Source organism: Homo sapiens, chromosome 14 (assembly GCF_000001405.40).
Source record: "Homo sapiens chromosome 14, GRCh38.p14 Primary Assembly".
In the NCBI taxonomy this organism is placed as follows: Eukaryota; Metazoa; Chordata; class Mammalia; order Primates; family Hominidae; genus Homo; species Homo sapiens.
In genome coordinates, this window is record NC_000014.9 from 60,927,777 (window position 1) to 60,954,805 (window position 27,029).

Below are 27,029 nucleotides of genomic sequence, written 5' to 3' on the forward strand. Positions count from 1 at the left end.
GATGTATGTGCCTTGTGTGCCTCTGAGGGTCTGCATTTACCCAATGAGTATCTCATGACTGAGGGATACAGCATTAAATAGCAAATAAAGTACCATAACAGGTCAAGAGAGAGACCCTAGAAGAAAGGAAAAAAATGTTTTCCTGCTTTTTAAACAAAGTGCCTGCATTTTATTTTGTACCAAACCTGACTACAGTCCAGTTTTAGAACCTTCGACAACCCCAAAAGATCCATCATGTTAGTTTATAGTTAGCCCCCTTTCCCATCACCAGACTTGGGCAACCACTTAGCTCTTTTTTGTCTCCACAGACTTGCCTATTCTAGACATGTGATACAAATGGAATCATAAGTATGTGGTTTTTGTGTCTGGTTTCTTTCATGTTTCTGAGGTTCATATTGTAGTATATATATCCATGTTTCATTTCTTTTTATTGCTGAATAATACTCCATTGAATGGATATACTACACGTTATCTATTTGCTTATCCATTCATCAGTTGATGGACTTTTTGATTATTGCCACTTTTTGGACACCATTAATAATGCTGCTATAAATATTCATACTGTTTGCATGTATGTTTTCATATATCTTGGATATATACTTAGGAATGAATGCTGGATCATGTAACAAATTTGTATTTAACTTTTCAGAAGCTGCCAAACTGTTTTATAAAGTGGCTGTACATTTTACATTCCTACTGGCATGAGGGTTTCCATTTTCCACATCCTCAGCAATGTTTATTATTGTCATTTTGATTATAACCATTGTTGCGAGTAAAAATTGGTATCTCATTAATTTGTCTTTCCCTCATGGTTAATGATATTGAGCTTCTTTTTATGTGTTTATTACCCATCCATATATCTTCTTTGGTATGATGTCTGTTCAGATCTTTTACTCATTTTAAAGTTGGGTCATTTGTTTTATTATAAAGTTACAAAAAGTTATTTTTTGATTATGTGATTTTTTAAATAAAAAAATTAATAGTTAAAAAAAGAATGTCATTTTACAAAGCACTTGCCATATATATATATCTTATAATTCTTTATATATTCTGGATATCAGCATTTTATTAAATATAATCTGTGGCTGGGCACAGTGGCTCATGCCTGTAATCCCAGCATTTTGGGAGGCCTAGGTGGGCAGATTACAGATTACGAGGTCAGGAGATCAAGACCATCCTGGCTAACACGGTGAAAGCTCGTCTCTACTAAAAATACAAAAAATTAGCCAGTGTGGTCGCATGTGCCTGTAGTCCCAGCTACTCAGAAGGCTGAGGCAGGAGAATCACTTGAACCTGGGAGGCAGAGGTTGCAGTGAGGCGAGATCATGCCACTGCACTCCAGCCTGGGTGACAGAGTGAGACTCCATCTCCCAAAAAAAAAAAAAAAAAAAAAAATATATATATATATATATATATATGTATATTTATATTTTGTAAATATGTTTTCCTAGAGTGTGGTTTGTTATTTTATTTTTTAATGATGTTTCTTGAAGTATAACACATTGAATTTTGATGAAATTCAGCTTACCAATTTTTTCTTTTATGGATCATGCTTTTGGTGTTGTATCTAAGACACTTTTGCCTAACCAAAGGCCAAGAAGATTTCCTCTTATGTTTTCCTGTAAAAGTTTTGTAATATTACCTCTTACATTTGGGCCTCAGATCCATGTTAAATTAATTTTTGTATGTGGTGTGGGCTAAAGGTCCAAGTTCATCATTTTTGCACAGAGATACCCAATGGTCCCAGTACCATTTGTTGAAAAGAATATTCTTTCCTCACTGAACTCCCTTTAAAACCATGTGTTTTGCCTATTATCCCCAGTAATTCCTAGTATAAGCAAAGCTTTTTGATTATCGAGTCCTGAACGTTTTCTTGACCTGGGGAATATTGCCTTTTCTTTTCCTGAATTACACATTTAGCTGTGAGCCTATCTGTAATAATAATAGTGAGCATTAGACAGAAGTGTTTGTTAACTCTGAGGAATTTCTAATTTTAAATAAGAAAATTATGAGGAAACATTTTATATCTTTCCTGTCAATTTATAATTAAATTTTGAAATAAGTATTTATTATTACTGTTTTACATCTAGAAGGGTCTCTGATTCCCAAGCCATGAAACATTCTGACAGGAACCACCCTCTTTCAACCTAAAACAAACAAACACCTAACCTTCTAATGCCAAAAGGTCTTAATTTTATTTCACTCTTTAAACTCAAATTGTTTGCATTCAGAGGTCAGAAAAATATAACATGCTTTGGTAAAGTAAAACTGGCTTCCTTAATTACTTTTCCAGGTCAAAAAGTAGAGGTCATTGAGGCAGTGTTTAGTTTTAGTTGTGTTACAAACACTATCATCAGTCAATTCCAGAGTATTTGCTTAAGAGGATATCCTCCTTCGAGATCTTTATTACTAAAGATTCTTCTTCCGTCTTTATTATTATTATTATTATTATTATTATTATTATTATTATTTGAGTCTATTTCCTTCTCTAGATAAGCTTTTCTAAGTCTGGGAACATCTCTTGTTCATTTTTGTTTCTCCATCTCACTATACTCTACCCTGTCCCCTCATACCTCATCCCACAATGCCTTGATGGCACAGATGTTCTGAAATGACTTCTTAAACTGAAGAGAATTTAAGAGATATAATGGAGAGAAGTATGATATTGCCAAGTGCCAAGATTCTCCTTCCTTCTGAAGTATATTAAATGTAATTGTGCTGGGTGGAAGAATTATGAAGACCAATTAGCCATAATTCCTCTTTCAAAAGCTGACAGTCTGGAAAAGGGAGATTGTCATATAAACAAGACATAAGAAGAGAGGGTCAAGGAACATTTCATAGAGATATGGACATTCAACTTCATTTTAAAGGATAAGTAAGAGTCTCCTAGTAGCATGAACAGAACATTCCGTCAGAACAGAAGGATTCAGAGATTTGACAGAACAGGGTGCCTTGAGGGAAATGTAAGTAGTTCAGTCTGACTGGAGCACAGGGTTTGTAACATAAAGTGACAAGAAACTAGTTAGGATCAAATCATGAAGAATCTTATTTATCATATTAAGTATTTTGAGTAATACTCCTTTCCCCCTTTTTGTTCCTGTGTGTCTTAAATCAAGGTTGAAAACCACTGCTATCTCAGTAACTAGGCTCTGAACCATACACTCTTAGTAATAGGTAGCTATGGAAGACGTTTAAATAATTGAGATATTCAGATTTATATTTTAGAAAAAATACTTCTGAAGGCAGCAGTATGGATCATGTATTTGAGAAGCCTGAAGTAAAATAAAGTGCCAAAATAAGAGAGTTGTAAGCAGTGAGGATGGAGTTGAGGGAATGGATTTGAGACTGAAGGGATAGAATTGAAAGGACTTGGCCACTGACTTCAGGTGCAGGGTAAGGAATGAGTCTAGGAAAATTCCAAGGTTTTTGGCTTGAGTGTCTGGATGGCTCTGTGATGACTTTCATAGGGTTCAGGCTTCCTTCAGAGTTTTGCACAGCCTATAGAATATGCCACTTAGACACAAGTCTTTGTGTGAGAGCTGCAGCAGGGATCTGAATGATTAAGGCAGCTGCTCAGGCTTGCTTTCTCACTACTCACTTTTGTTGCCTGTGTCAGGGAAAGGCCAGGGAGAGAAATAATTGGGGACAGGGACTGCATTTATTCTGCTGCCAGAGAGTATGTGCAGCTGCCGCTTCCTTCTGATTCACCACTACCACTTGCCACAGCAGCTGGGCTGGACCAAAATAGGTAGACTGTAAAAGATTCTGTGATAACAAAGCCCATTGCAGCACTGGGTGTAACTTGAAATGTTTTTTATTCATATTTCTCTAACTTTTTTCTTATTTCAAAAATATGTCTGTAGATACATATCGTAGACCTGAATTGTATATTTAATATGTAAGACCCTTAATATTTTTGATTTAGTCAGTGTGGGAGAATAGTACTACTTACTTTAATGCATATATATATATGTGTGTATATATATGGTGTGTGTGTATATATCTATAACCTTTGACACTCTGAAAAGAGCTGCTTAATTGTCAAGGTAGAAGATTTTAAAAACATCCTCAAAGTTTTTTTTTAAAAAAACAATGGTGAATTAATTATATACTCCCTTAGATACTGAGCCTACTTTTTAAATTTTTTAATTCAGTCATTTTGAGAATTAAGTGTGTTATTTGTCCATTGAATTAAGTTTGTGTGTAAATATTTGCCATTTCTAGAATATTCATACTTCTTACTCTTACTAATTTTTTCTGATAAAAACTTCATATTATAAGGATGTTAGTTTTAATCAATTTTATATTATCAAGTTTTCTAGTATATGTCTTTAATTTTTGCTTGTACAAACCTATATATTAGGTTACATTAGAGTTCTGTTATCTTTTTTCTTATGTAAGTTTAGTCTAAAATAAGACTGACATACTAGTTTTTAATTCGCTCATATTTCTTAAATTTTTGTTTCATTTGTAGTATAAAATCACTTTTTTAGAGAATAATATTTAGTTTTTCTTCTATCCTTGTAAAACTACAGCAGCCTTAAATTATGCTATAGGTGTTCATTGTTGGTTCATCATAAAATAATTAACACTTGCATTCCAGAACTGTAATTCCACTTAGTACAGCATTTCATTTCATTTTTTTAAAAGAGGTTTCCATTTTTAGAAAATTTGGAGGTTTTTTCCCTCCTTTAAAGACATGGTTAAATAATGATTAATATAGTTCAAGAAACTGTCTTACGTGGAGTGTGCAGGTATTTCAGCTCTGTTTTTTTCTTTTCTTTATTCTTTAAATGTTAGATAGATTTTAGTTTACCACTTTAGAAAACTATTTTTAACTGTTTTTATATATTTATATATCTCATACTGAATGCCAGGTAAGAATTTTATTCTGCACTACTGACATTAATTCCCAATAGTTAAACATAATAGATGACCATACAGTTGTTATCTATTTCTTATCCTGTGCTCTAGGATTTATCATTTTTAAAGCTATGTGTTAGAGATCATACTTATTTCTGAATAGCTAAATATCAGTGTTTTTGCATCATAATTTGGTGTATACTGTGTTACATTTTCAGAAAATTTGATTTGATAAATATAACCATAATCTTAAAAACAAAACTTTGAAGATATATGAATCACTTTGTAAATAATAATAATATGCAGTACAGTGTAGGAGTTGAGAGAATTTTTGGAATTATATTGCCTGAGTTCAAATCTTGGCTGTTTTGCTTGGTTTATAACCCTAGGCAGGTAACCTACCTAACATTCTGTGTCTTTGTTTCCTCCTTTATGAAATGGAGATATCTAATGGGGTTGTTTTGAGTACTAAATGAGGTAATATATGGAAGAGCCTAGAATACTGACTGGTAGAATATTGAAGTATAATATAGAAAGTCCGGTCCCTTAGAATCTATTTGTATTATACTGATTTTAGGTCTATTGAGATTTTCTACCTTTCCTTTCTCTCCTTTTTTTCTTCTTCTAATTTGATCAATTAGGCATATCGACACAATGATAAATTGTTGTATTGCCGTTCTTCCGTATAATTTTGGCATTTAGTTCAGTGTAGCATTTATTTCCTAATTATTGAAATAAAAATTCAGTTTATCTTTAAGGAAGACTACTTGGTTTTCTGATGTTTTGAAGCAAACAAAGTAGCGGGTAAGATGTTTTGTCCCAGTGATTTTATTTGTGCTCTTAACACCAAGGGAAAGTCACAGGTTAAATTCTTAAAAAGAATTTAAGGAAAAATGTAAAGAAAATAAGGGAGTACATGATTGACAAATTATCCCATTTATTTATTTAATAAGAATTTTAGTTTTTAAGAAAATGAGATGTCCTTCCTTTGTTATTTAAGTAAAAAGCATAATCACATCTAAAACATGGATCTAGACAATCCCATAGCTATTGACAGTCTGAAGTCCTACCCATAATTGTTTGTTTTCCTTGTTTATCTCCCTGCTCTAATTCCGTACTATGGTATTCCTTTGAGAGGCTCTGTCCCACCCTTTGTTACCTTGTATATAGAATTTTTTCACTTAAATGAATTCCCCAGAAAATCTACGCACATTGTCTGGAAGATTTAAGGGTTACCAGGAGGGATCATATTACCTATGTTAACCTAAAAAAAGACACTAGAGAAAATTATCTCTAAATATGTTTAGTTTTCTTGGGAATGAGAAATAAGGATTATAAAGTGGAATGGATGAAAGGGCAAGCTACAAGTGCATTCAGTGAGGGAAGAGTAAAGGGAAGCTTTTATTAGCCAAAAGGTAGAGATGTACATAAGCTGCTTAGAAAGAGAGTTTATTGGTTTCAGAAGTTCAAAGTCCAAGTTGTTGACAATTCATTCGTAGAGATGCTGTTACTGGGCAAGTGTTCTTCCAAGAGCAACTTATCTGAGTTACTGCCGTCCTAAAGAATATACAGTGATAAACCTTGTCAAAGGCAGGAGATGCATATTTCTTACAGGGATTTTAGGACATCACTGGAAACAGACATGTAAGCATGAGCCTCCTTTCCTTGGTGCCTTCCTGGCCCTATTTTGTCTGGGTCTGAAAATTGATTTCATCCTGGTATCTGCACCTTTACACCCAACTGTAAACTATGACCATGATATGGTTTGGCTGTGTCCGCACCCAAATCTTATCTCGAATTTCCATGTGTCGTGGGAGGGACCCAGTAGGAGGTAATTGAATCAAGGGGGCGGGTCTTTTCCATGCTGTTCTCCTGAGAGTGAATAAGTCTCACGAGATCTGATGGTTTTAAAAAAGGGAGTTTTCCTGCACAAGCTGTCTTCTCTTGTCTGCCGCCATGTGAGACATGTCTTTCACCTCCTACCATGATTGTGAGGCCTCCCCAGCCATGTAGAACTATAAGTGCAATTAAACTTCTTTCTTTTCTAAATTGCCCAGTCTTGGGTGTGTCTTTATCAGCAGCAAGAAAATGGACTAATACAGACCATATGTCACATTGCTCATTTCATCTCTTCTGTCTTTTTCCTTCCTCTCTTTCTGGAACATAAAGAAATTACTTCCCTTGCCTGTGGAAGGCAATTTCTCCCACATTTAAATGCTCTTGGGAGGGGCAGAATGCCTCACTTTCCCTAGTTTATCAAGGGTTTCCTTCTAAACAAAGTGTGTAAACAAATATAGAGGTGCTTTCCCTAAATTAAGGAATTCTAGTGAAGTAGATTTTCTGTACCTTAGTACCTTTGTATTTGTGGTTGTTTATTATTCATTTTCCATTTAACATTTCACAAGTAGCCTAACTTCTTTAATTTTAGAGAGGCTTTAAATGAAGAATTTTAAATGAACCTAAGAGATTATCTAGGTAAATGTGTTTTCCTTTTCCCTAAGTTTTTGTTGATGCTGTCAGTTAGTTTCACTATATGTAGTCAAAAAACTCTTGAAGAGGACCATTTGTGTTACGTAGATAGGGGCCATATTTCAGGCAATTGTCACCTTCCCCACCTCTCTCCCCCTCTCTTTTTTTTCTTTCTTCCTCCCTCCCTCATCTACCTACCTAGCCCCCATCCCTCCCTCCCTCCCTCCTTCCTTTCTTCTTTCTCTCTTTCTTAGCATTATAGTTGATATTGAAATACTTTATATAAAGTGCAAGAATGTACTTAGATGTGACATTGATAAAAAGTTGCATTTTGATTCTTACTGTTGCTTATTCATTTTCCATTAGTTGAAGGAACTAGAAATTACTTCCAGATGTGTTGCTTTATTCCTTGTCTTCAAGAAGTAGTATCTTCTCTTATTTTCAGTATTTTAAATTCATTTAACAAATACTGTGAGTGTGTTATGGGCACATAATGTGTTTGGACATTGTGAAAAATTCAAAAATATATTATGGCTTCTGCTCACAGAATGACAAGTGATGGAGAAATGCCAGGAATAAGAGTATGATGCAGGGTAGGAGGAGAAATCAGAAAGCAATAGATTCTATATACATAGATTTGGGCCCTCACAGATGCTGCTTTTTTCAAACATATAGTTGAAGATGCAGTATTGGATTTGAAATTCCCTGTAGATAAGGAAATTGAACATCAAGCTGTTGCCGAATTTTGCTCCTTAGTTCAGCTAAAACCGGGCTCTTGTCACGCAACCAGGGAAATTTAGGCATGCAGACACATTGAAAGGTGAGTAGAACAGGATATTATTAGGCTAAAAGGGAAAAAAAGAAACAAAAAACCCAGCACAGTGAGATGGACTCCTGCTAACAGGCCCCCAACCTCACAGGTTGAATCCCAGGCCACCACACAGGAACTGAGGAGGCCAGGATCCTCCTTGCTACTGGTGGCTCCACCCCGTTCCCCCAGTGCGCATGTGGGCATGCTCAGACAAGGTCATGGGCAGGTTCCCTCATCTGCACGAAAGCATCTGATGTAAACACTTGTGGGGCTGTTCAGAGATTCTCCGGAGACCCCTTTTTTGTGTGTGTGCATTTTTTTTATTATACTTTAAGTTTTAGGGTACATGTGCACAACGTGCAGGTTTGTTACGTGTGTATACATGTGTCATGTTGGTGTGCTGCACTCATTAACTCATCATTTAACATTAGGTATATCTCCTAATGCTATCCCTCCCCCCTCCCCCCACCCCACAACAGGCCCCCGTGTGTGATGTTCCCCTTCCTGTGTCCGTGTGTTCTCATTGTTCATTTCCCACCTATGAGAACATGCGGTGTTTGGTTTTTTGTCCTTGCGATAGTTTGCTGAGAATGATGGTTTCCAGCTTCATCCATGTCCCTACAAAGGACATGAACTCATTATTTCTTATGGCTGCATAGTATTCCATGGTGTATATGTGCCACATTTTCTTAATCCAGTCTATCATTGTTGGACATTTGACTTGGTTCCAAGTCTTTGCTATTGTGAATAGTGCTGCAATAAACATACATGTGCATGTGCCTTTATAGCAGCATGATTTATAATCCTTTGGGTATATACCCAGTAATGGGATTGCTGGGTCAAATGGTATTTCTAGTTCTAGATCCCTGAGGAGTTGCCACACCGACTTCCACAGTGGTTGAACTAGTTTACAGTCCCACCAACAGTGTAAAAGTGTTCCTATTTCTCCACATCCTCTCCAGCACCTGTTGTTTCCTGACTTTTTAATGATCACCATTCTAACTGGTGTGAGATGGTATCTCATTGTGGTTTTGATTTGCATTTCTCTGATGGCCAGTGATGCTGAGCATTTTTTCATGTGTTTTTTGGCTGCATAAATGTCTTCTTTTGAGAAGTGTGTGTTCATATCCTTCACCCACTTGTTGATGGGGTTTTTTGTTTTTTTCTTGTAAATTTGTTTGAGTTCATTGTAGATTCTGGATATTAGCCCTTTGTCAGAAGAGTAGGTTGCAAAAATTTTCTCCCATTCTGTAGGTTGCCTGTTCACTCTGATGGTAGTTTCTTTTGCTGTGCAGAAGCTCTTTAGTTTAATTAGATCCTGTTTGTCAATTTTGGCTTTTGTTGCCATTGCTTTTGGTGTTTTAAACATGAAGTCCTTGCCCATGCCTATGTCCTGAATGGTATTGCCTAGATTTTCTTCTATGGTTTTTATGGTTTTAGGTCTAACATTTAAGTCTTTAATCCATCTTGAATTAATTTTAGTATAAGGTGTAAGGAAGGGATCCAGTTTCAGCTTTCTACATATGGCCAGCCAGTTTTCTCAGCACCATTTGTTATTAAATAGGGAATCCTTTCCCCATTTCTTGTTTTTGTCAGGTTTGTCAAAGATCAGATGGTTGTAGATATGTGGCATTATTTCTGAGGGCTCTGTTCTGTTCCATTGGTCTATATGTCTGTTTTGGTACCAGTACCATGCTGTTTTGGTTACTGTAGCCTTGTAATATAGTTTGAAGTCAGGCAGCATGATGCCTCCAGCTTTGTTCTTTTGGCTTAGGATTGACTTGGCGATGCGGGCTCTTTTTTGGTTCCATATGAACTTTAAAGTAGTTTTTTCCAATTCTGTGAAGAAAGTCATTGGTAGCTTGATGGGGATGGCATTGAATCTATAAATTACCTTGGGCAGTATGGCCATTTTCACAATATTGATTCTTCCTACCCATGAGCATGGAATGTTCTTCCATTTGTTTGTATCCTCTTTTATTTCATTGAGCAGTGGTTTGTAGTTCTCCTTGAAGAGGTCCTTCACATCCCTTGTAGGTTGGATTCCTAGGTATTTTATTCTCCTTGAAGCAATTGTGAATAGGAGTTCACTCATGATTTGGCTGTTTGTCTGTTATTGGTGTAGAAGAATGGTTGTGATTTTTGCACATTGATTTTGTATCCTGAGACTTTGCTGAAGTTGCCTATCAGCTTGAGGAGATTTTGGGCCAAGGCGATGGGATTTTCTAGATATACAATCATGTCATCTGCAAACAGGGACAATTTGGCTTCCTCTTTTCCTAATTGAATACCCTTTATTTCTTTCTCCTGCCTGATTGCCCTGGCCAGAACTTCCAACACTATGTTGAATAGGAGTGGTGAGAGAGGGCATCCCTGTCTTGTGCCAGTTTTCAAAGGGAATGCTTCCAGTTTTTGTCCATTCAGTATGATATTGGCTGTGGGTTTGTCATAGATAGCTCTTATTATTTTGAGATATGTCCCATCAATAACTAATTTATTGAGAGTTTTTAGCATGAAGTGTTGTTGAGTTTTGTCAAAGGCCTTTTCTGCCTCTATTGAGATAATCATGTGTTTTTTGTCGTTGGTTCTGTTAATATGCTGGATTATGATTATTGATTTGTGTATGTTGAACCAGCCTTGCATCCCAGGAATGAAGCCCACTTGATCATGGTGGATAAGTGTTTTGATATGCTGTGCTGCTGGATTTGGTTTGCCAGTATTTTTTTGAGAATTTTTGTATCAATGTTCATCAGGGATATTGGTCTAAAATTCTCTTTTTTTGTTGTGTCTCTGCCCGGCTTTGGTATCAGGATGATGCTGGCCTCATACAATGAGTTAGGGAGGATTCCCTCTTTTTCTACTGATTGGAATAGTTTCAGAAGGAATGGTACCAGCTCCTCCTTGTACCTCTGGTAGAATTCAGCTGTGAATCCCTCTGGTCCTGGACTTCTTTTTGTTGGTAAGCTATTAATTATTGCCTCAATTTCAGAGCCTGTTATTGGTCTATTCAGAGATTCAACTTCTTCCTGGTTTAGTGTTGGGAGGGTGTATGTGTCAAGGAATTTATCCATTTCTTCTAGATTTTCTGATTTATTTGCATAGAGGTGTTTATAGTATTCTCTGATGGTAGTTTGTATTTCTGTGGGATCGGTGGTGATATCCCCTTTATCATTTTTTATTGCATCTATTTGATTCTTCTCTCTTTTCTTCTTTATTAGTCTTGCTAGCGGTCTATCAATTTTGTTGATCTTTTCAAAAAACCAGCTCCTGGATTCATTGATTTGTTGAAGGGTTTTTTGTGTGTCTATCTCCTTCAGTTCTGCTCTGACTTAGTTATTTCTTGCCTTCTGCTAGCTTTGAATGTGTTTGTCCCTTGCTTCTCTAGTTCTTTTAATTGTGATGTTAAGATGTGAATTTTAGATCTTTCCTCCTTTCTCTTGTGGGCATTTAGTCCTATAAAGTTCCCTCTACACACTGCTTTGAGTGTGTCCCAGAGATTCTGGTATGTTGTCTCTCTGTTCTCGTTGGTTTCAAAGAACATCTTAATTTCTGCCTTGATTTCGTTATGTACCCAGTAGTCATTCAGGAGCAGGTTGTTCAGTTTCCATGTAGTTGAGTGGTTTTCAGTGAGTTTCTTAATCCTGAATTCTAGTTTGATTGCACTGTGGTCTGAGAGACAGTTTGTTATCATTTCTGCTCTTTTACATTTACTGAGGAGTGCTTTACTTCCAACTATGTGGTCAATTTTGGAATAGGTGTGGTGTGGTGCTGAAAAGAATGTATATTCTGTTGATTTGGGTTGGAGAGTTCTGTAGATGTCTATTAGGTCTGCTTGGTGCAGAGCTGAGTTCAGTTCCTGGAGAGCCTTGTTAACTTTCTGTCTCGTTGATCTGTCTAACGTTGAGAGTGGGGTGTTAAAGTCTCCCATTTTTATTGTGTGGGAGTCTAAGTCTCTTTGTAGGTCTCTAAGGACGTGCTTTATGAATCTGGGTGCTCCTGTATTGGGTGCATATATATTTAGGATAGTTAGCTCTTCTTGTTGAATTGATCCCTTTACCATTATGTAATGGCCTTCTTTGTCTCTCTTGATCTTTGTTGGTTTAAAGTCTGTTTTATGAGAGACTAGGATCGCAACCCCTGCCTTTTTTTGTTTTCCATTTGTTTGGTAGATCTTCCTCCATCCCTTTATTTTGAGCTTATGTGTGTCTCTGCACGTGAGATGGGTTTCCTGAATACAGCACACTGATGGGTCTTGACTCTTTATCCAATTTGCCAGTCTGTGTCTTTTAATTGGAGCATTTAGCCCATTTACATTTAAGGTTAATATTGTTATGTGTGAATTTGATCCTGTCAGTATGATGTTAGCTGGTTATTTTGCTCATTAGTTGATGCAGTTTCTTCCTAGCCTCGATGGTCTTTACAATTTGGCATGTTTTTGCAGTGGCTCTGGAGACCCCTTTTTATCTGCCTAGGCATTTGGCTGTCTCAAAGCTTTATTTTTTGTTGTTGTTGTTTTGAGACGGATTTTCGCTCTGTTGCCCAGGCTAGAGTGCAGTGGCACGATCTTGGCTCACTGCAAGCTCTGCCTCCCAGGTTCATGCCATTCTTCTGCCTCAGCCTCCCGAGTAGCTGGGACTACAGGTGCCTGTCACCACGCCCAGCTAATTTTTTGTATTTTTAGTAGAGAGGGGGTTTCACTGTGTTAGCCTGGATGGTCTCAATCTTCTGACCTCATGATCTGCCCGCCTTGGTCCCCCAAAGTGCTGGAATTACAGCCGTGAGCCACTGCACCTGGCCGTCTGTCTCAAAGCTTTCTTACTTATTTATCTGAATTCAATGGCTTAATAAACTTATGATGAGATATCTAAAAGGATGGGTTTAAAATTCAGTTCTTCCTTATTCCTTCTCACAAATCTCTTCAACATTACAGAATCAGAAGGGTCAAAATTAGAATAGCCTGAGAAGCTCAATTTAAAAAAAAAGTTAGAGTGAGATTTGAACTTTAGTCATATATAGTTTCTATTGAAATATTTGAAACTCTAGATAATGTTAACTGTATGACGTTCCCACCTAGTGTTAATATTTGAATTATTCTTTAAAAGTTTTTGGGAAATGCCTGTGTTAAGTATTGGTAATTTAATAAAATTCCGTTTATTCTCATAGTATATAGAAGTTTTGTTATTTCTAGTTTTTATGGTTTTTAGTGATTATGTGGTATTTAAATAATAAACAATGGTGAATTTAACAGATCAAAAATTCATTTAATTGTATTACTGTTTTGTTCCTCATCTGGAAATATTTCTCTGGCTAGTCCATTTTTCCCTTGATCTCTTAGTCCCTGTGATTCAGGAAATTGTATTAATGAATTTATGGTCAATACTACTGACTAGGATGCTTTCAATAACATAGTTTAAAATGTAGTCACACTTATAGCTAGAATGGTGAAACAAAAGTTTGTTCTCCTTAAAGATTTACCTTGTTAAGAAATAGTTTCTGATGGCTCGGCACACTGGCTCACACCTGTAGTTTCAGCCTTTTGGGAGACCAAGACAGGAGGATTGCTTGAGGACAGGAATTCAAGACCAGCTTGGGCAACATTGCAAGAACCCATCTCTACAAAAATTTAAAGAACAAAACTTAGCCAGGTATGGTGGTATGCGCCTATAGTCCTAGCTACTCAGGAGGGAGAGGAGGGAGGATCACTTGAGCCCAGGAGTTCAAGGCTGGTGCTAAGATTGTGCCACTGTACTCCAGTGTGAGCAATAGAGTTAGACCCTGTTTCTTAAAAAAAAAAAAAGTCAATGGCCGGGCGCGGTGGCTCACTCCTGTAATCCCAGCACTTTGGGAGGCTGAGGCGGGCGGATCATGAGGTCAGGAGATGGAGACCATCGCAGCTAACATGGTGAAACCCCGTCTCTACTAAAAATACAAAAAATTAGCCGGGCGTAATGGCGGGCGCCTGTAATTGCAGCTACTCGGGAGGCTGAGGCAGGAGAATGGCATGAAACCTGGAGGCGGAACTTGCAGTGAGCCGAGATCGCACCACTGTACTCCAGCCTGGGCGACAGAATGAGGCTCCATCTCAAAAAAAAAAAAAAAAAAAAAAAAAAAAAGTCAATAAATGAAAGCTGCTTCTCTATTCAAAGTTAGGGATTGTTGGTTCATATCTTCTTTTCCACACTCCACTAAAAAAATTTTAAGCTGATGAAAATACTTTTAGGGAAACATACTTTTAAATGGAATAGTTTTTTCTGATATAAATGATTACCGTTAAGTTGTCTGTCTTAAAGAGTTCAGCCAAAAAGCACATCTATCTTTATTTAACCATTTGTTGCTGCTGCTGCTTATTCCAGTAGTGTTAGCACAGGAAAACTTGTCATTCTGGACTTCTTCCATCTTGCCCTCAAGCAGTGCCCAGAAGCAAAACCCTAACTGGGGGATAGTAAGCTTTACTTACAGTGCCAAAAATCCTATCACCATTTGCTGTCACAAGAAAGGGGCCCTTATTGTTATTTCTCTCTTAATTTTTTTTTTTTTTTGTAAATTTGGACTCTTTTAGTCTTATTTAAAATAGTGATATTCATATAGTAATCTCGCGGTACTGACATTTGTTTTTTCCACTATCAGTGCCTAAGACAATCGTTGACAGTTATTAAAACAGTAAGGTTTTCTTTGACTTTGTTTAAGAGCCTCTGATTTAGCGCCCTTCTTTTGCAGTGATATTTATATTAAATCGAAAATTTGTAAAAATCAGCCCATTTTTATGAATAAAAAAATAGTAGATACAAGTTTGCAATATAAGAAATGACCACTACAATGCATTTTAGAAATTAAAATTAAAGCTTCTTTAACATATGTTAAAGTAAGCAAGAAATAAGCCTCTGGTAAAGCTACTGAAATTTTGGGATTATTCATTACTACTGCAAAATCAAGTTTAACCTCACTGTCGCAGTGCTTTTGTCAGTAGAGCTAAATCATAATTCACTTAATTTACAGATGTATTTTTAATGGGCTGATAATCTCTTAGTTATCTTGTCATTTGACTTTCCACAAGTTTGTATTAATTGAATTAGAACCACATGTAGTGTGTGTGTGTGTGTGTGTGTGTGTGTGTGTGTGTGTGTGTGTGTGCGCTTTTTTTTTTTTTTTTTTGAGACGGAGTCTTGCTCTTGTCACCCAGGCTGTAGTGCAGTGCCGCAATTTTGGCTCACTGCAACCTCCGCCTCCCAGAGAACCATGTGTATTTGTAAATCAACAATTGTGGTTCCTCTGATGCATACTGAATAAATTATTCAGCTTTCAGATTTAACTTCTATAGATCTGAGTCACTTTCTAAATTGTTACTGGAAACAGTAATTGTAAATTAGCTGAGTAAATGTGCCTTTGCTAATATGAACACTCATAAAATTTCAGAGCACTTCACAGTTTCAAAGCATCATTTCATTGATTCTTAACTACAATTCTAGGAGATAAGCAAGGCAAGTATAATTATTGCTGCATTCATTTTACAGGTGGGGAAATTGAAGCAAAGTCATTTGCCCCAGGCCATATGGCTTATAAACAGCAGAATTAGGGTCATCTTCTGGCTAATCTTTCAACTGTTTGTTTTTGTTTTTCATATCATCTCGTTAGAGTCAATTATCTGTTCAGGCAGTGGGCAGTGAGGGAGTGGGGAGAGGTGGAAGGATTTGTTTCTCTTTTTTTTTTTAATTCCTAAACATTTCCACCAGAGACATAAAATTATCCAAAACAAATAAATGCATTATTTTGCCCTCCATGTTGCTGGTTGCTAGGGCACCCATGCCTAATTTAAAATATATACATCTTTTGAATGTAGCATTTTAAGTTTTCAGATTTATGCAAGGTATGGAGAGGAAGGGAGACTGTTAGCATGTTTTAAAACAAGGTTAACTCCATATGGAGCCCTGCCTTCTCAAGCAATGAATTTTCCAGGATTAATTATAACCGAAGCAAGATTTAGTCATGGACTAAAAGTAGCTGCATTATCATAGAATTCTTAAGTGTTATTCATATAAGTTTTGTATATAGGATGAACAAATTATAGGTTTCTAACTAGAACTGCAATGTCATTCCAGAAACTATGCAAGGGTATTAAAATGCTTATTTTACAGTTGTTCCTGGCATTTCTATAATTAACTAATGATTTAGTACATCTGGTGATTTGGACCAGGAATGTGAGCAAATCAGAATATATTAACTAGTAGAGGAGGTAGAATGTTTCCTATTTTGTAGTGTTAAGAAAGTAGACAGTTAACTGACTCTTACCCTGAAGAAAATGACAAAGGGTCAGCCAGGTGCCCTTCCTTATCAGAGATCGTAAGTTTCTATAGTCCTTTTGTATGGAAGTGATAGTATTTGGAAATGGGGCCTTTGTGAGGCATTCAGGCTTATATGAATTCATGAGGGTGGAGCCTTCCTGACTCTATTAATGCCCTTATAAGAACAGCTACCAGAGAACAAACTTGCTGTCTCTCTGCCACGTGAGGACACAGATAGAAGGCCAGGAAGAGAGCCCTCGCCAGCAACCAAATCAGCCAGGACTTCCTAGACTCCAGAATTATGAGAAATAGACTTCTATCGTTTAAGCCACTGAGTGTGTGGTATTTTGTTATAGCAGTTGAAGTAGACAAATAGACTATTACCATATAGCTTTAGAATCAAACATTTAATGTTAAATCCTACCCCCATAGTACTGGTCTCAGGAAAGGTATGTGGCCTGTTCAGGGTTGTTATAAATTATCAGGAACAATATACAAGAAGTGCCTAAATTATAAAATTTTATAAACTTATAAAACTTCAAATTGTCAAGATTTTGGTAAGCGAGGCACTTTAATTTCACTTTCTAGAACTCATAATTTTCTAGGAGAAATTATCTCTGGTTTTAATTTTTATTCCATTTTATTGTCTGAATTATTCATAGATGTACAAATAATGAGAGGACTCAAAGAGTTTTCATGCAAACATAGCTCTTAAAAAGTGTTAACTCTTTGCTCCAAGGAAATAAATATTTAGAAAACTCTTACTGTAAATATGATTATAGCAGTTTCCCAAAGCTAATAAAATATTTCATCAGCTAATGAAAAATTCAGTCAGTGCAATTAAGCAGCTAATGTGAAGACCTGAATCAGAGTTTCAAAGCTACTAAGAACCACTTACCATCATCATGTAGGCTCAAGTGCTTTTCACTCAAAGCTTAGTAGTATACTTTCTTGTTCAAGGTATACTTCAGGGGTTAAGAATATTTCCAAACCTATAGCTTCCTATTGTGTCCCAAAATGTTTTTTTGAGACACAGGCAGCACTTTCAGTTTTTTTTCTAAATCCATCTTTTGAGTCTATAATGTGTCATGATAATCTTTTTATTATGTAAGAGGGGAGTCAGGTAATTTTATCTCTATCCAGAGCCCTTTGCCAGAAAAAAAAAATAGAGCATCTTTATATAAAGGAATTCTAACTATCTATTTTCTTTGTTTTTCTTTGGAATAAATTTGAATACCAAATAGATTCCTTATAGGAATCACTTTACAATATGGGCCCAGTCTCAAAGTTGAATAAATCTTTGGTCATTTTTCTCTGTTACATGAGAGAAGGGCTTAGGCCACTGGGGGCACTTTCTAAAATTCCTTTATAATCACATCTTTTCTTCCTTATGAACACATTAGTATTTTTACTGTTTTAATTATATTAAATACATTAGTATTTTAGTGTTTTCGTTATATTGTGACAATATATAACATTTGAATACAAATAATAATTAGAAATTTTAAAACATGTATGAATTATTGTTAAATTAGTTCTGCCGAGAGAAGCTGGAGAAGATCCCATAAACAACAGATTGGTGCCATTCAGGTATCATTTTGCACACAGATACGGTGGCTTCTTCTCTCACATCCCACAGTGGCTTTCCCACATCATCAGTTTCCTAAATCTCCCACTCCACTTTCCCCTCTTTATACTCAGCAACTAACTTTTCAACATGCTACACAGAGAAAACGTATGTATGAATACATTCTCTCCAAAGCCACACTCTAACTATAAACTCGTCCATACTTGTACACATTGCTAACTCCTTCTGTCCATTCTTATTGGCAGAAAGGCCTGTCCTGCTTTTGAGGCCAGTCCCACCACCTGTGTTCCATGGCCTACTTTTGATTCAACTCAGGGATATTAGACCATCAAATTGGTCTCCCTCCCTCTTTCAGATTGAGATCATCTTCTCTGTGTTGAAATATTTCCTTTACAACATGAACATACTCAAATTTCCATCTTAAAACCACATAGTCGCTTCATCAACCCTGAATCTTCCTCTGACTACTGCTCTTTCTTCCATATTCAATGAAAAACCTTTGAAAAAAGTCTTATACTTGCTCTCTCTACTTCCTTATTTCTGATTCATCCACCAAACCTAGTGGAATTTGGCTTTTACTTAGAATCTGATTTTGCTGATTCACAATCGACTTGCTAATTACAAAATTTGGTGGGTAACTTGCGGTCCTTTTCTTATTTTACCCTTCTATCGAACCATTCTCTTATTCTTCAAACTGTATCTTTCATTTGCTTTATGACACTACTTCCTTTTTGTTTTTGTTTTTGTTTTTTTTTTCTTCCTCTGATTTCTTCTGAATCCTTTTGGCCAGTTCTTCTTCCTCTGCTAAAGTTATTGTGTGAAGTCATTCCTTGACCTTTTGTTCTCATTCACTATCACTAATTGAGTACCTGTGTGTATGGTAGGCTCTTTTTTAGGCACTTCTTGTATATCGTTCCTGATAATTTATAACAACCCTGAACAGGCCACATACCTTTCCTGAGACCAGTACTATGGGGGTAGGATTTAACATCAAATGTTTGATTCTAAAGCTATATGGTAATAGTCTATTTGTCTACTTCAACTGCTATAACCAAATACCACACACTCAGTGGCTTAAACAATAGAAGTCTATTTCTCATAATTCTGGAGGCTGGGAAGTCCTGGCTGATTTGATTGCTGGCGAGGGCTCTCTTCCTGGCCTTCTATCTGTGTCCTCATGTGGCAGAGAGACAGCAAGTTTGTTCTCTGGTATCTGTTCTTGTAAGGGCATTAATATAGTCATGAAGGCTCCACCCTCGTGAATTCATGTAAACCTGAATGCCTCACAAAGACCCCATTTCCAAATACTATCACATTGAGAGTAGGGGCTTCAACAGAAGAATTTTAAGGGTAGAGGTAACACAATTCAGTACATAGCAAATCGTTTTCAGACTTTTTAAAGGAACACAGCTGTTTTTTTAAAAACAATATCTTCCTAGGACCCCAACATATAAAATAGTCAAAAGCAGAACTACTCCATTACAGTGGGAATGACAGGTCCAGAGCCCTGATAATTTGGACCTCCCTCCCAATTCTAACCCCATAGTGCTCCAAAGGTATTTGCTCAGAACCCAAGGGCTCTGAGAAAACAGTTTAAAAGGTACAATAATTTATGTTAAATTGTCCAGGCTCACACCTGTAATCCCAGCACTTTGGGAGGCCGAGGCGGGTGGATCTTCTGAGGTCAGGAGTTCGAGACAAGCCTGGCCAACATGGTGAAACCCCTTCTCTACTAAAAACACAAAAATTAGCCAGGCATGGTGATGCGTGCCTATAATCCTGGCTACTCTGGAGACTGAGGCAGGAGAATCGCTTGAACCCGGGAGGCAGAGGTTGCAGTAAGTCCAGATTGTGCCACTGCACTCCAGCCTCGGCAACAAAGTGAGACTCTATCTGAAAAATAAAAATTATGTAAAATTGCAAGCCTAGATTTATTTTTTAGTTAGTTTGAAAATCAGATTTCCAAATGGATCCTGGACACTTCTGTCATTCTACCTGTGTCTGACCAGTACTTCACTCAGTTCTTTATGCTCCAAATGGAACTTACCTTCATTGTTAACTTCTAACTATTGTTTTAGTGAAACTTCCTACCTCAGCAAATCTTCCAGGCTCCAGACCTGCGATGACAGGTGGAAAGATTTCTTCTTGCTGCTATGTCATGTAATTGGACAGTTAAGGCCTGTAGAGCTGTAGCCCCATAGAGGCCCTCATAATCTTTTCTCTTTGCTTCCTTTTTTACCCTCTCTTTCTCCAATCTATCTTTTCTACAAAGGTAAATTTCTAAAATTCAAGCCCAATCGCATTATTCACCTGCTGACATTTTTCTTGAGCCCCCATTGTCTGTTTTAAAAGATACTGAAGGGGCTGAGCATGGTGACTCACGCCTGTAATCTCAGCGCTTACCAAGGCCAAGGCGGGAGAATTTCTTGAGGCCAGGAGTTCGAGAACACCCCGGGCAACTAAGTGAGACCCTGTCTCTACAAAAAATTTAAAAATTAGCTGGGCATGGTGGTGCATGCCTGTAGTCCCAGCTCCTCAGGAGACTGAGATGGGACAATCACTTGAGCCCAAGGAGTTCAAGGCTATGATTGTGGCACTGCACACCAGCCTGAGTGACAGAGCAAGACCCTGTCTCTAAACAAACAAAAAAAGATATTCGAGGCATACAGAACCCTCAGGATTTGACACTGAGAATACATCATATTCTCTCAGGCCTCAAGTCATTGTAGAGTTTTTTCATTTCTAGAAAACCCTCTTTGCTTCTTTACCTACCTGGCAAATTATCATTTTCCTTTCATGTATCAACTTACTCATTATGTTTTCTGTACTCGCCTGACTTCTCCGGGTGACCAGTTCTCTTATCATTAAAAATGGTTTATTTTTATGTTTTTCTTCCTATTAGACTTATATCTCCTAGAAAACAGGGACTGTTTGTCTTCTCATCTAGCACTTAACATAGTAGTTGGTACATAGTAAGTGTTCAAGATATGTTAATTGAATAGTTGAATTCTTTTCAAGAAAATTAATTTTTTAGCATATCTAGGTATCAGCCATTTTATCTGTTAAAGAAACAGCAAGATAAGATGATTTCAAAATTTCCTTCCAGTTTTAGGATTATCTGTTAAAGAAACAGCAAGATAAGATGATTTCAAAATTTCCTTCCAGTTTTAGGATTCTGTGTTACTTCTCTTACTATAATCTCCTTACCCATGATTCTTCTCACTTATTTTACAAAGCATTTAAAATTTATTTTTAATAATCACATGTAGAATTAATTTTAAGTATATCTTTAAAGAAGGATGGACTTTTATCCTCTTGATATTTATTTTATATTTTTTTGAAAATTATTTTTGTTCCATAAAAAATTAGTTTTTGCAAATGAGTCCAATTAGGAACAAAATATATCAAGAATAAACTTTGGATTTTTTCCTCTTCTTTACTTCCTGTTGACTAATTGTAGCGGGTTCTCTCCAAAGCATGTTCTTGGCGTAGGAAAACTGTGTGGCCTGTTTTGAACCTAAGGATGACAGGTGGAAATAATTTTTCTCTCAAAAGTAGAATTCAAGAAAACAGTAGGGCTTTTTTCTTTCTTTTAACCTTTTAAAGTGATGAAATAAGAAGTCTACATTTTTAACGATAAAGCATTTTTGTAATGTACTGAAGCAGGTTCTGTAAAATTTAACTTTTAAAACTTATGATTTTAGAAAAAAGTCATATGTAACTCATTAGAATGTATTTTTATTTAAAATATTATACCAGCATGTGCACAGTTACAAGGCATTGCCAAAAAATGTACTCTGGAAGCAAAACAGAATACTGAAAATAATGCTACAATTTTTAAAATAAGAGGAAAATATTTTCTTTACACATGAAATTTTTGGTCCAAATGATATTTAACCAACTAACTGGCTAATCTATTAAAGCATTCTATTTCAGAAAAGCTTCATTTTTGGTACCATTGATTGCATTAGCACATTACTTCTGATAGTGGGCATAGATTATTTTTTTTTCTAAAGTGATGTTTTTTCCAAAGTGATATTGTGGTTTTACTCTTGGAAGAAAGTACAAGTTTTCTGTGGGCCTAAGTATTAAAAATGTTTTTTAAAAACTTGAAATTGTTATACATTAAACTAGAACTCTTGGAACTTTTTCAGATTTTGCTGCTATAGTCACTAGTCCTTTGACTTAGATATTTTATGAACCAATTTTTACTGGCTGGAAAATAGAATTTTCCATAATTAAGAGAAAACATCAGTTATTTTATCCAGTTGACTTTGTCTTTGCTTGTTATTGTTTGCTTTAGAGATTTATCTAAGTTGTTGACATGATTCAGATTCTAGTGTATGAAATAAAGCTTTTGAGGGGAAGTTGCTTTGAATGGAAAAATAAATACCTTAAAAAATATTTAGCTTTGAGTGTGTCTAGTCCTGTTTGAATTTTTTGTTTTTCCTTGCACTCATAGTTGTATTCTATTGTAGTATATATATTTGAGTATAAAATTGGTTAACACACTAAGAGTTCAGTTTATGAGATGGGATAAATTTAAATCTCAAAGCAATTTTCAAATATACTCATTAAGAAAATGCAAGTATTTATATTTTAAATAAAGTCATTTTCCACTATATACCCTATCACCCTTTTATTATTATAGACGTTTTCTAATTTCCAGGAAAACCTCGTCCACCCCAGTGACTGATATATACTCTAGCTTGTTCAACCCATGGCCTGCAGGCCACATGCAGCCCAGGACAGCTTTGAATGCAGCCCAACACAAATTCGTAAACTTTCTTAAAACATTATGACTTTTTGTTTTGTTTTATTTTTAGCTTATTAGCTATCGTTAGTGTTAGTGTATTTTATGTGTGGCCCGAGACAATTTTTCTTCCACTGTGGCCCAGGGAAGCCAAAAGATTGGACACCCCTGATGTATAGCTTACCCTTCATTCAAACCCCTTTCATCTTTCGACGAAGCTTCATAATTTGTGGTGATAATTGTTTTCATATCCTATTTTTATTTGCCAGCTATTATCATGGCTGCACTTTAGAGCTATATCTTAACTAATCAGAACCTAATTTAGTTTTAAAAATTCTGTATTTTCTGATTAGAAGTTAGGATGATTTTTTAAAATGATGGCAAATAAATATTTATGTTGCTATCAAGAAACTTATCTAGTGGGGAATGTATAACATTTTTAAGTAGCCATGGTACGTAGAAGAGAGGTAGCGATAAAGTGCTTTGCGAATTCAGAGGAGGAAAGAAGTAATTCTATCTGGACAATCCAGAAGAGGTGTAATCTAAAACAGTTGTTAAATATTTCAAACATAGAGAAGCACAGAGAGTAATATAATAACATAATAATTGTGCTACCCAGAATTAAGAAATATTATTTGCAAACATCAAAAAATTCTAAACTTAATATCTTTCCTCCTTCTGAACAAAACAAAGACCTTAGAATGCTTAAACTCAGGCTTCCCCTCCCTTTTTTTTTTTTTTTTTTTTGCTGTTTTTGTTGCTACTTTGTCTTATTGTTATTATTGTTTTTGGCTCATCTTTGCTCCTTACATCCTGCTTTTCCCATTGGAGTTTAATTTGCTTCTTGCTGAAACATTTCCTTTAGTGGTTCTTTTTCACATTTTCCTTTTTTTGTCGGGGGAGAGCTCTACTGTATTTTGTGTTTTCCTCACATATGTCTTTCAGTTTACTATTTTCTGTCCTTCTGTGGATAATCTAATGCTTAACCTGTCCATTGAAACTTTTATTCCAAGATTCCTGTTTGATTCTTTCAAAAAAGAAAATGCCTATTCTTTTCATATTGTCCTTTCCTTGCCGTATGGCAGCTATTCCTTTCGTGGTTTCTTTTGACATTAAATATACTTCTTTTAGAATTTCTTTCAGTTTATTATCTATGATTGTGGATGTGTCAGTCCTGCCATTGGTCATGTCTTCTGACTCTTTTATAAGTGAGGTTCATTTAAATTTTTTTTTTCCATTTTACTGTGAATTTTTTTTTAGTGGGAGTTGTTTTCCTGTGGGTCTTGGATCGTGAAGGCATACTGTTATAGAGATTCATATTTGCTTCTGACAAATTCCTGTTGGCTTCACTGAGTCTGAACCAGTTGTTATTCTTAATTTTTTGCGGGTGGAGCAGGCTTGGGTAGTCTCATTCCTTATGTGTGATTCCTTTTCCACCCATGCCCCAGATGGGTTGCAAGCTTTCTTGTGACTATACCCAAGCTAGTAAGCAAAATTTTCCTAGGAGCTGTTTCATAGACAGAAGAGTATTTTGTAGATCTAGGTTACATGCAGGGCTGCAAGCCCAGTTTCAGCTTCCTACCTCTAACAGGACTGAGACCTGTCTCCTTTAATAGAGGGTAACAGAAAACCTCACAGTTGACTTTGGCTTAAGTTCAGGGTACATGGAGATGGTTAATGGAAAATATGTTTGGAAAGGTGGGTTGGAATCAAGTACAGTAGGCCTTGAATGGTAGGCTAAGGAATTTGGACTTCATGCTACATATAGCAGGAATCCAATGAATGTCTTTTTGCGTGAGAGTCATGCAGAGCTTTGCTCTAAGAAGATTAATTTGGTAACCATGAATAGGTTGGAATGGAGAGAACATACTGTAAATAGGGAGATCAATTAAGAGACTATTCACATTAGTCTGTGAAAGAGGTAATAAAGACCTGAAATACGGTAACAATAGTGGCAATGAAGATGATGTGAGAGGTAAATAGATGTTTATAGAGAGATTATGATACAGGTTTCACACTGGTATTCAGGAGAAAGAGCATTCCAAGATGACCCCAGTGAGGATGCTGAAACTATTAAGGAAAGTCAGACACAGACAGAGCGTTAGGTTTGTAAAGAAAGGTGAGTTCGATTATGAAAATATTATCTTTGTAGTGCCAGTGGGATACCCAGGTACAAAGGGCCACCCATGCAGATAAACATATTGGACTATAATTAAGATAGAAGGACAGACCAAAAGAGATGTGGGGCTTAGTAGAACAGAAGCATTAAATGAAGCCATACATTTCAGAGACAGAATCAAGAATCAGGAAAGAGAGGAGGTAAACCAAGAAGAAAATTAGTAATTAGGAAATAGAAAAAGAGAATTGTGGGGAATGATATGTCAGAGTAGTAGGAGTGTGGCCCGGGGCATAGACTGATATTATGGAAATCAGAAACTGGAAGCATTTCACGGCCAGGGGCTATCACTATTAGAGAGGTGGAGGAAAATGTTGAGGAGGATGAGGTCCAAGAAATGGCCATTTAATGGTAACCAGAGTCAAAATACAAGGATATGAGGAACAAGTGGAAGGAGAGGCAGTGAGAGTGGAAATAATGTAGTAAATTCACTTCTGAAATAAAACTTATAAGGGTATACATAGTATTTGTGAAATATAGATCTGTATGTATATGTTTGAATCTATACAAATGTATTATACGTATGTATATATGTAAATTTTTCCCCATGTCTGTTAGCGTGTAGGTATTGGCACCCTTGGGTTACTCTATTACCCTGTGATAAAAGATTAGCAAGCAAGATTCTTCTTATCCTTTGAAATCTCCACTTTGATCTTCATAATAGAGGTACAGTAAAAGGGGAAAGATAGAAAGCAACAATATTATTGTTGGAATAGACGTAGGAGGTCACAGGGTTGGGAAAGGAGAGGTACATACTATTAGCAGAGGGTAAAAGTGCTTTGGAAATTTGGGCTATGGAAGATCTATCTTTTGTGAAAGCATGCTTTGTATTGAAATTATCAAATAGAAGATAGAGGGTGGACAAGAACACTTACACATAATTGAATGTACCAGATGCTTTACATAAATTTTCATGTTTCATCTTTCAAAACACTAATAAGGAGTGCATATGGTAGTTCTGTTTTTAATTTTTTGAGGAACTTCCGTACTGTTTTCCATGATGGCTTTACAATTTACATTCTCATTAACACTGTACTAGGGGTTCTCTGTTCTCCACACCCTTGCGAACCCTTGTTATATATTGCCTTTTTCATAGTAGCCATCCTAACAGGTGTGAGGTGATACCTCATTGTGATTTTAATTTGTTTTGCCTGGTGATTAGTGATGTTAAAGTTTTTTCACATACCTTTTGGCCATTTGTATGTCTTCCTTTGAGAAATGTCTATTCCAGTCATTTGCCCATTTTTTAATCAGGTTATTTGTTTTCTTGCTATCGAGTTGTTTGTGTTCTTTATATATTTTGTATATTAGCCCCTTTCTAGGTTCTCTGTTCTGTTCCATTGGTGTATACTGTTTTTATGCCAGTACCAGGCTGTTTTGATTACTTTAGCTTTGTAGTATACTTTGAGATCAGGTGATATTTACATGCCTCTTTGTTCATTTCCTTAAGCTTTATTTGCCTATTCAAGGTCTTTTGTTATTCCACATGAATTTTAGGATTCTTTTCTCTATTTCTGTGAAAAATGTCATAAGAATTTTGATAGAAAAATGTGATTAGAATTCAGTGATGGAATCATTGAATCTGTTGATCACTTTGGATTTTATGGACATTTTATCAATGTTAATTCTTCCATTCCATGAATAAGGAATATTTTTTCATTTACTTTTGTCTCCAATGTCTTTCATCAGAGTTTTATAGTTTTCAGTGTATAGATCTTCACCTCCTTGGTTAAATTTGTTTTTAAATTGTTGGGGTTTTTTGTTTTGTTTTTGTTTGTTTTGGTAGCTATTGTAAATGGGATTGTTTTCTTGATTTCTTCTTCAGACAGCTCCTTGTTAGTGTATGGAGGTGCTACTAATTTCTGTATGCTGATTTTGCATGCTGAAGCTTTACTGAATCAATTAGTTTCAACAGTTTTTTGGTGGAGTTGTTAGGGTTTTCTATAAATAAGATCATGTTATCTGCAAACAGAGACAATGTAACTTTTCCTATTTCTTCTTTTGCCTAATTGCTCTGGCTATAACTTCCAGTATTATGTTGAACAGAAATGGCAAGAGTGGGCATTCTTGGCTTATTCCTAATTTTAAAG

General features: G+C 36.1%; 1 protein-coding gene across 6 annotated transcripts in view, besides 2 other annotated features; it reads left to right on the forward strand.

The window, feature by feature from the left end:
- Positions 1-27,029, forward strand: part of MNAT1 (MNAT1 component of CDK activating kinase) — a 235,205-nt gene that overhangs the window by 193,016 nt on the left and 15,160 nt on the right. The window lies entirely within an intron of this gene.
- Positions 6,455-6,749: an enhancer, noted in NCBI's record as "tiled region #12651; K562 Activating DNase matched - State 6:EnhF". NCBI's record gives its function as "activates a minimal TATA promoter and a strong SV40 promoter by Sharpr-MPRA in K562 cells {active_cell/tissue: K562}" and the evidence as "EXISTENCE:reporter gene assay evidence [ECO:0000049][PMID:27701403]".
- Positions 16,315-16,609: a silencer, noted in NCBI's record as "tiled region #14697; HepG2 Repressive non-DNase unmatched - State 23:Low". NCBI's record gives its function as "represses a minimal TATA promoter and a strong SV40 promoter by Sharpr-MPRA in HepG2 cells {active_cell/tissue: HepG2}" and the evidence as "EXISTENCE:reporter gene assay evidence [ECO:0000049][PMID:27701403]".